The following is a 10,752-nucleotide window of genomic DNA, read 5'->3' on the forward strand; positions in this document are numbered from 1 at the left end:
AGAGTTTAACTGTATTGTATACATACTACTTGCTTAACCCTTTTAAAGCCAATCAAAAATTAATTTGTACGTCCAGCATTAGAAGCTTGTTTTATTTACTTATCATTAAGGTGGTGTTTGTTTGGTTTTAAAAGTACTTTGGATGCTTTTCTTTGAGCTTTTCTTTGTGGTAATTAAGTTAATTGAGAGAAGTCAGGGTCCTAAGGTTTGAGAAATGAAATTACTGATTATCTTCTTATTCAGGGAGTTTAAAGTTAATTTCAGAATCATAAGTAAAGGAGAGATGACAAGTCCAGTTTTATGAACTAAGGCACTGACTTCAGCCACTTAAGGAAATTAGCCTAAGCCCAGTTTCTAATTGTCTTGATCCAATTGTGTGAATTATTCCCATTTTTTGCTTTTCTCATAAAAACAACTGGACACACATTTCTTGTAAAGGATAATTCATTTATTAAGAGCATCTTTAGTGCAATTTGACCAAAGGTCCTGTTCTGGGGAATTTATTAAGATATCTCTTGGTTTATTCTGTTCTCTAGGCCTGGGATCTTCTTCCTGTTCTTCTGTATCTCTATGACTCTCATGCGTCCTTGAAGACCCTACCAAGGTCCTGATGGATATCTCCACTCCTCAAATTGAGTAAGTTGCCTTGTCTCAGTGGGCATAGGCCTGCTATGCACCCATTTCTTTATGGTTTTCATCACTTGAAATGAAAGCAAGCAATTCTCTGTTCAGATGTCTGTCTCCTCACTAGATGTGAGCTTTCTGAGGACAGTAACTTTTTTATTCAACAGTGTGCTCCCCATACTCAAATAAAATTATGTATGCAAAGGAGAAACTGTGCCCCAAATTGAAGGCAAATGGTATGCACCCAATAATAAAGTGGGAGTATGAGCCATTTTGATGACTGAAATGTAGTTGTCCCTTGGTATCTGAGGCAGATTGTTTCCAGGACCCACTTCTGATACCAAAATCCATGGATGCTCAAGTCCCACAGTTGGTCCTGTGGAACAGTGTATTTTCGAATAGTGTATTTCTATCTGTGTTTGGTTGAATCTGAATATGTGGAACACACAGATATGGAGGGCCGACTGTATAATTTGTTATGCATGTTGCAAATCGATAATCATTTATGGACTAAATCTAATAATCAACCAAACTGGGAATTTTGCCATAGTTGGGTTTTATCATCTGTAATCCCTAGCTGATTGATAAATAATGTAGTAGTGATCTATTGTGTAACAAGTTACTCAACACTTAGAGGCTTAAAACAACACAGATTTATGATATCACGGTTTCCATGGTTCGGGAATCTGAGTGTGGCTTAGCTGGGTCTTCTGCTTTAGGATCTCTCATGGGCTGTAGTCATCTCAGATCGACTGGGAAGGATCCACTTCTGAGCTCACTCACATGGCTGATGGCAGGATTCATTTCCTTGGAGGCTGGTGGACTGAGTCTTCAATTCCTCATGAGCTGTTGGCCAGAAGTCTCTCTTTGTTCATTGCCATGTGGGTCTCTCCAAAGAGTGTCTCACAACATGGCAGCTGCTTTCATCAGAGCAAGCAAGTGAAAGGCAGGAGAGAGCACCAACTAGAGAGCATGCTAACAAGACATAAATCACATTGTTTTATAACCTAATCTCAGAAGTGACATCCCATCACTTTTGCCATATTCTATTGGATACTAGGTCCAGCTGACACTTAAGGGGAGGGAATTACACAAAGGTGTGAATGCTATGAGGTAGAGATCATTGGGAGTTATGTCAGAGGCTGCCTACAACAAATAATAAGAATTTAAGAAAAACACAAAATGGATAACACAGTATCTGATGGTACAAAAATAAACCATACTACTGTGATTGAACTACTATCAGAATGGATATATAGGAGAGACAAGAAAGTTTAAGCCTAAATTATTTAATGCTTCCTCCTCCTCCTCCTCCTCCTTCTTCTTCTTGCATTGGGATCTCGCTCTGTCACACAGGCTGGAGTGCAGTGGCATCATAATAGCTCATTGCAGCCTTGACCTTCTAGGATCAAGCAATCCTCCTGCCTCAGCCTTCTGAATAGTTGGAACTACAGCAGTGAGCCACTGTGCCTGGCTAAACCTTTATTCTCAATCCATAAGCATTCATTGACAGTCTATTTGGTACCAAGCATCATGATGCACTCAGGGTACCCTAGAGAGGAATAAAACTTTATTTGTGACTGAAAAAGTTTAGAGATTAGTGAAGAAAATCAGTATGGAAAAAAGTCAGTTTGGAAAATTTCATAATACAAGTATATTAATAGTGTTTTTGCAGTACAGTGATAGAGTGCATGTCAGGAAATTTTACTTTGAATTACTGAAAGTTTTGTGGAGAATTGAGCAATGAGAAATAATTCCCTAAGCAGAGAGTGACGGGAGGGAAAAGAGCCCGTGTAAAGGAAGAAATGTTACTGATTAGGGATTTTTGAAATCAGGAAATGATTTTAACTGTCCCCAAGTCTCAATCTCAATGCCAAAGGGAAGCAGGGAGGTTTAAGTCCTACACCAAGATGATATAGTCAAGATAATCTTTGGAAACTGCTCTTGTCTCCTTAAAGATTAGTTGAGTGGGGTGGGGTGGATTTATCTGAATGCCATGACTGGTCTTTGATAACACTTTCAGTCATGCACATTTTATCTTTAGGATTGTAGCTGAAGCTCCTCTCCTCCTCTGTGGTACTGTTGTACCCAGGCGAGTTAGAGAAAACGCCACACTTTGAGACGAATTAAGAGTCCTTTATTAGCCAGCGACCGAGAGACGGCTAACGCTCAAAATTCTCTCGGCCCCGAAGAAGGGGCTAGATTTTCTTTTATACTTTGGTTTAGAAAGGGGAGGGGGGTCTAGTTAAAACAATTTTACAGAAATAAAGTAGGCAAAAAGTTAAAAGGATAAATGGTTACAGGAAAGTAAACAGTTCCAGGTGCAGGGGCTTTAAGACTATTACAAGGTGATAGACTCGGGGCTTTGGGCATTATCAATCAGACAAATTCCTGGGAATTGCGGATATAGCTTGCCACAGTATCTTATCAGTTAATTGCATTCTTGGATGTGCTGGGAGTCAGCTTGCACAAGTTAAGTCCTTGAGGAAGGGGCTGCCAGTGAGAGAGCCAAGATGGAGTCTGTCTGGCTCTTTTAGCTAAGGGAGAGTCAATTCAGGTGGAAACAAGCCTAAAAACAGGGTTAGTAAAAACAAGGTTGGGCATTACAGTACCTGTGTAACCCCAGGAACTCGATCACTTTCTGGTAGTTTCTAGCTACCGGAGGCTCCACCAGGCTGATCTTGATGGGCATTGTTCCTACCAGACTCCCCTGGAGATATCTCCTTCCTCTCTTGCCCATAAGAGTCTACTTAATATGTTTCCTCTTTGGAGGGGAGGACAGGAGGATATTCCTGTACTGGGGTGAGCATCCAGACAAGCAGAGAAACTGATCCTTCTGTCATCTTATTTTAAAGCCAGAGTCTAAGGTGGCAGCAGGTATTATCCATAATGATGTGGGGAGTGGGGTGTGTGCTTGGCTGTGGATTATAATTGCATTGTTTTTCTTTCAATTATCTTATTTTTTTTTGCTTCTGCTGTCACCTCAATTACAATTTCACAAATATACCTCCTCTTTTTATTATAGCAGCATATATTTATTTCTGGGTTTAATTATTTTTGGCATCCTTCAATTTCACATTCTTCAAAATAATGACTATGGGATGCCATTATCTAATGACTGATGAGTTCTCTATTCTGCCAAGTCATTGTCTCCTATTTAGGTTTTTGTTTTTTAAATGTTAGGTTGTATAAAAAGCATTACGTATGCTAGGGAGAAACTGTAGTTCAGAGATGGTGACAGAGCTGACATTTGAATCCAAAGCCTGTGTCTTTGCACCAAGCCAAGCAAAAGATCCAGTAGATGAAATTACTGTCTGGAATCTTTGAGAAATCTCCAATGTCAGGAGAGCTTCCAGGTGGTGAGAACTGGGCAAATGATCTTTTTCTTTTCCAATAAGGAGGAGCATTCTTCAAACTATAGGTTGATTTGCTTGCTGTCAATCCTTGGAATAAGAATATGGATAGGCTGAGCTAAGAGAGCTTATACAATGGAATGGTTTGACTTTCTGATCGCCTATACTACCACTGCTCCTGGTTCATATCTCTAGTGAGAGAGAAGTGAAGCACTGAATAAGAAGACATCACTAATAATTAAAGAATCAAAGTGTCAACAAAATGATGGATTCTTCATGTATTTCTGAAAGGATACAAAACAAAAAACACCATTATGACTCCTTTCTAAGGCATGTAACAACTCTCCTTTATGTGGCTTTTGGAATTTACCTATTTATGACATGAGATCCAGCTTCCTCTCCTGAACCTAAGGGTCATAAAGACTCTCTTCCTTGTTGACCATAAGGCAGTTTCCGGCTGGCATCTTACTTTCTTTTTGAATATAAAATAAATTCTTAAGTGTCAATGTTTGCAGGAACAAGGATGAGTTATTCCTAGCCTCTGATTGGTAAAAATTTCCCTTCTTTTTATCTGCAATAAAGTTTTTATAGATGACAAAGTCTGATTTTTAAATTCTGAGCTACAATAGCAGCATGTATAAAATTATGCTACAATTATGTGCTTATATATCTGTCTCTCCCACTAAATTGGGAACTCCCTAAAGGTTGGAGTTGTTTGTCATTCTTTTATATATTGAAATGCATATAACAGTGCCTGCACCTAAGAAATTGCTAACAAATGGTTTTTCCATATAAATTCATTCATTCATTCATTTATTCACATTGTTCAGTCTCCCTGGATTTTACTTTCCCTACTTTTTATTAGAATAACAGTATAACTAGCACCTGGCAAATTGTCAGACACATAGTAGATACTCAATAAATGATATGACATTCCTTCTCCCTATTCAGAGATGCAATCCATCAAACCTGAAGAAGTAGATGTTATTTAGAGTAGTTGAGTATTCTGGGATGATGTTCTCATCCATTTTAGCTTCAAGTTTACCCTCCTATACATTTCTGTCCTTGGCCAAGGATCATAAGGAAAAGGCTTCCTGGGATGTCCTGCTTTCTCTGTCTTACATGAACATGATTTGTGTACAGACTGCAAGCCTTGTTACTCTTGCTTGGTGAACATAGCTGTAAGTAACCCCTAACCTTCCAGACATGATTTGTTCTGGTCCAAGCCCCTTTTTTATTTATCCTTGTTAAACATCCTCTTTTCTAATTGTTGTACGTGCCCTTTTATGCATCTGAGTTCATCAAATGACTGCTATTCATGTTCCACTTTGATCAGAGAGGCTCAGAAATATTTAATGCTTACAAAACAGAAACATGATAAAATATCACGTCACAAATATAGTCAAATTAGTATGTGTGATTTGAAATCTTATTAATGCATTAAACTACTTCATTTTGGTCCTGTCTATTTTTAAATGTCCAAACACATTAATAAAAGATCTGTGAATTTTTTTAAATGGCTTTTAAAAAAAAAATCAAGATGCTGAGGGCCTAAATCTTTAACTTGATTAAGGAATTAAGGTCCATAGTTCCTTGTCTGCAGTTCTGAAATTCCCCCAAAACTGACAAGCTAAAGTTTTGTTTGTAACTTACTTGGTGATAAAATTTGAGCTGAACTGAAGAGAGGTTATTTATAGTCTCTCTTTATCCTACTTGGTGTGAATATTTATGTTTCATGGAAAAATATCAATGTTTGATTACTGTGTGCTGCCCCAGGCCTCACTGCAAATGTTGTTTAATATATGGTCTATGTTCTCTATGAACCTCCTAAAATCTGAAAAGTCTACATTTTGAAACATATTTACTCCCAAGAGTTTCTTTAGGGTTAGGGATCATCCACCTATAGTTACCAAACTTCACCTCTTAGGTGTTGGTATTGTATATAAACACTAGTGTGGAATTAAGTTCCATCATCTTTGATTATATTAGTTTCAAAGAATATTCAAAATAGTTCCTACCTAACAAAGTATTTATGGATGAAATAATTTAATGTCTGGGATTTGTTCAAAATAATATGGGAGAGAGGAAGCAGTTGTCAAGAATTTTGAAGAGTTTCAGATTTTACCCTACTTGCCAGGCTCACAAGTTACTCTGCCAGTTTTATGGATACTGGCAAAAGACACAAGGCTCTTGGGTTAGAGAAAAAGGACTTTATTATCCACAGAACAGAAAGCAGCATGAGTTTTATGTTCACATCAGATCTCTCTTGGTTTTCAAGTCTCATGGAGGCAATGCAAAGTGGCTCAGTTGGATATTGTGCAAGCAGTAGGTTTGCATCACAGCTGGGGAACCTTGAGCTTAGGAAACATGGATCTTTTATAATGGGAAGTTAGCAAACTTTCTTGACTTTGCTTTGGAGGGAGACATTATCTTTATCATATTGGTCAGTAAACAAATATGCCCTCTACTCTGAAGACAGACACTATCTTTTTCATCCAAGACTCTTTGCTAGACAAACATCCTTAAAAAGAGTTTATAACAAAGTCAGTGAGCACCTATGCTCACAAGACATGAGGAAACACAAGAGACCCATGGAGACTTGTCTCCTAACAATCATGATGGTAGGGAGGAATACATGAAAAACAATTAGCTGTGACTTGATAATTATTAAAACTGGGTGATGGGTACATTGAAGTATAGTCTACTTTTGTATATTTTTGATGTTTTCCATAGATAAGTTAAAAAAAAAAAGCAGCTTTATAAGTAAAGTACTGTGTGATACTATACATATGTATTAGGCCATTCTTGCATTGATATAAATAAATACCTGAAACTGGATAACTCATAAGAAAATATATATAATTGGCTTACAGTTTTGCAGGCTGTACAAGCATGGCACCGGCACTGCTTGGCTTCTGGGGAAGCCTCAGGGAGCTTTGACTCATGGTGGAAGGTGAAATGAGAGCATGCATATCATATGGCAAAAGCAGGAACAAGAGAGAGACTGAGGAGGGAGATGCCACACACTTAGAAATGACCAGATCTCATGTGAACTCAGAGTGAGAGATCATTTATCATGAAGGGGATGGCCCAAGCCATTCACGAGGAATCTGCCCCATGATCCAAACACCTCCCACCAGGCCCCACCTTAAACATTGGGGATTACAATTCAACATGAGATTTGGTGGAGACACACATTCAAACTATATCATTCTGCCCCTGGCCCCCAAAATCTCATGTCCTTTTCACACTGAAAAATACAATTCTTCCAACCTCTGCCTGTTACCCATTTCCAAAGTCACTTCCACATCAAGTATCTATAGAAATGCTCCACTCCTCAGTACCAATTTTCTTTTTTAGGCTGTTCTTGCATTGCTTATAAAGAAATATCTGAGACTGGGTAATTTATAAGAAAAGAGGTTTCATTGGCTCATGATTCCGCAGGTTGTATAGGAAGCATAATGCCATCATCTGCTTCTGGGGAGGCCTCAGAAAGCTTACAACCATTGTAAAAGGCAAAAGGGGGAACAGGCACATCACATGGAAAAAGCAGGAGCAAGAGAGAGCGGGGAGGTGCTACACACTTTTAAATAACCAGATCTCAAGAGAACTCATTCACTAGCATGAAGACAGCACCAAGCCATGAGGGATCCACCCCTGTGACCCAAACACCTCTCACCAGGCCCCACCTCCAGCACTGGGGATTACAATTCAACATGAAATTTGGATGGGGACAAATATCCAAACTATATCACCATTTAAATCACAATAAAAAATGCCCAATGAGATGGTGGTAATTACCATCTCACATCTCTACCTCACTGAACAAATGTCTGAGATCTATTCAGTAAATGTTCTTGGAGGCTGGTTTGTTAGAGTATTGACAAATTCAGTGTGATTAATTCAAATCTCTACAGGTTAAATAAAACCAACTGTGAAAGTCAGGAACATTGGAGAATGGTAGAAAATGACCCTTCAGTTTCTAGTTTTTGGTGAGCACAATACACATATTACATATACATAAATATATATACCACAATATACATGTAACACATACATTAATGTGATCGTATGTATATAAGTGAGATGAAGGCAAAGGAGACTTCATTTATGTACACGGCCTTTTATTCACATGAATAGTAATCAGAGTGTCAAAAAAGGAAATCTTGAAAATAATGCTAATGTAAGTGTTTTCAGCAAATATATGTCTTTAGAATATATATGCTTTAGTAACACATAAATACATTCCTGTTCTAAAAACAGAGGTGTCTAGACTCAAAAGTGAATGTCTTATTCCCCACAGAGCAAGCACTACCCCCTCTCCAATTTCCCATTTGCCTCCAGAGAAGTAATTGCTGTTAACAGTTTGGTGTATACTCTTCCAGGCTAGTGTCTATAAATTTACATACATTAATATGTAAAAGTACAAATATAGTTTTTAAAGCATAAACGGGATTCTTCTGTGCATACTTTTATATACCCTACTTTTTTCATTTAAAAGTTTCTTGGAGATATTTCAATTTCAGTATATAAGAAACTGTTCCCATTTTAAAATTTGTTGCATAAAATTTATAGAATGGATGTATTATATTTGAAATATCCAATCTAAGCTCATCTTGCACTGCTGCTAAGAATTTTTCATAGTTATTATGAACACATATCACAACTGCCTTCTGTACCAAGTAAGCTTCATGGACCACTTCCTGCCCACCTGGGTCTGTAATCTAAGATAACCTTGACACAAATATATATTGAGAATAAATTCTCTTTATGTATCAAGAGTCTTGACACTTTTTTTTTTATTATGAGGCTTATCTTAAATTCTCTTGCTAAATTGTATAGGAAGAGAGCTTAAAGAGGAATAGGATATTTACATAGTCCCAGAGTATCTCCTCACCAGTTACTTATTAGTTATGAAAGGAAAATCTATATGGTGAAGGAACAAAACTTTAACCAAATGACCAAAATTAGCATCACCAGTAAGGCCAAATGGGCATCACATGCCTCTGGCTATGAGACCTTGGGAAAGATACAACATCACTTATGTGATATTCTTACTAGATATGCATTACTTGGATCAAATCATGAGAAAACATTAGATAAACCTATATGAAGGGACATTCTGTAAAATAAGTCCCCTATACACTTTAAAATAATGAATGAAATATAAATACTGATGAAAGAGGCTTAGGAACTGTTTCTGATTAAAGGATAGTAAATATACATGGCAACTAAATGTAATGTGTGATTCTGGACTGGATCCTGTACTAGAAAAGAATTGCTATAAAGTACATTGTTGGGATAACCAATAAAATTGGAATATGGACTATAGATTAGATAAAAATACTGTATCGATGCTAAATTTCCTAATTTCAATAACTGCACTGTGGTCATGCAAGATTATATGTTGGAAATATTTTAGGCTATGTTAGGAAATACAGAAAATACGCACTGAGGGATTAAGGAGTAAATGAATATGAATATGTCTGCACATGGTTCAGAAAAAAGTATATGTCTGTCTCTCTGTGTGAATGTGTGTGTGTAGACAGAGAGAGGGACTATAACATGAATGTGGCAGATTATTTTAAATGAGTGACTATGGACATGGATAACAGGTACAAGTAAATTCTTTTTGCTATTTTTGCAACTGTTCTCTAAAATTTAAATTATTTCAAATTAAAACATTGAAGTACATGTTTTGGTTTCAAGACTGTAAAGAAACCTGCAGTGGATAAGTCATGCATTGAAGTTCATTCAAGAGATGGACGTAGAGTCTAGTTCAACCTCTTGTCTTCTTGGGGTGAGCTCTGATTACAGGACTTTAAGGAATGGTTCTTTTTCAATAGGTTTTCCGGAGGTATTTTATGTATCTTACAATTAGGAACTGTCAAAACACTTCAGTTTCAGAAATACAAACAGCTGAGAAGCTGTTAATTTTCAGAGGCAGGAGGAAAACTTGTATTTTCAGTGGTAAGTTATTGTTTTAATAAAACATTGTCTTGCATCAACCTGTTGTACTAATTCTCCTTTTCAGGGGCTTTTCACTAAGCTGTGCCTATGCAGATAGATAAGGTTGCCCCACTTTTAATTCTTTACTTTTTGTAATGCTGATGGAGTTTGTGAACAATGGCTCAAGTGAGCATGGCTTAAGTTTAGAGAAACATAAAAACATAGAAATTATTTTAAAAGACCTATAATCTCTCCTGCTAATCTACCTGTGAATTGCTCCAAGGAACTGGGAATAGCAATTATTTTAACAGCTTTATTGAGATATAATTCACATACATACATTTTACCTATTTAAAGTGTACAATTCAATAGTTTTTAACATATTCCCAGAGATGCAACTACCCCCACAATCTAATTCTAGAGCATTTTCATTTGCCTCTAAAGAAATCCTGTATCCATTAACAGTCATTCTTCATTTGCTGCTCCCCCTTGCCCTAGGCAACCACTAACCTACTTTCTGTGTCTCTGGATTAGCCTATTCTGGACATCTCATATAAACTGAATCATATAATGTGTGGTCCTTTGTGTCTGGCTTCTTTCATTTACATGATGTTTTCAAGGCTAATTCATGTTGTAGTGTGTATCAGGACTTCATTTCTTTTTATTGTCAAATAATAGCTCATCATGTGGATATATGAATTATGTAATTTATAATTATGAATAATGTTGCTATGAACATTGTGCGGATGTGTTTTACTTTTCCTTGCATATATATCTATGAGTGGAATTGCTGGATCATGTGATAACTCTGTGTTTAACATCTTGA

The sequence above is a fragment of the Homo sapiens genome, chromosome X, assembly GCF_000001405.40.
Source record: "Homo sapiens chromosome X, GRCh38.p14 Primary Assembly".
In the NCBI taxonomy this organism is placed as follows: domain Eukaryota; kingdom Metazoa; phylum Chordata; class Mammalia; order Primates; family Hominidae; genus Homo; species Homo sapiens.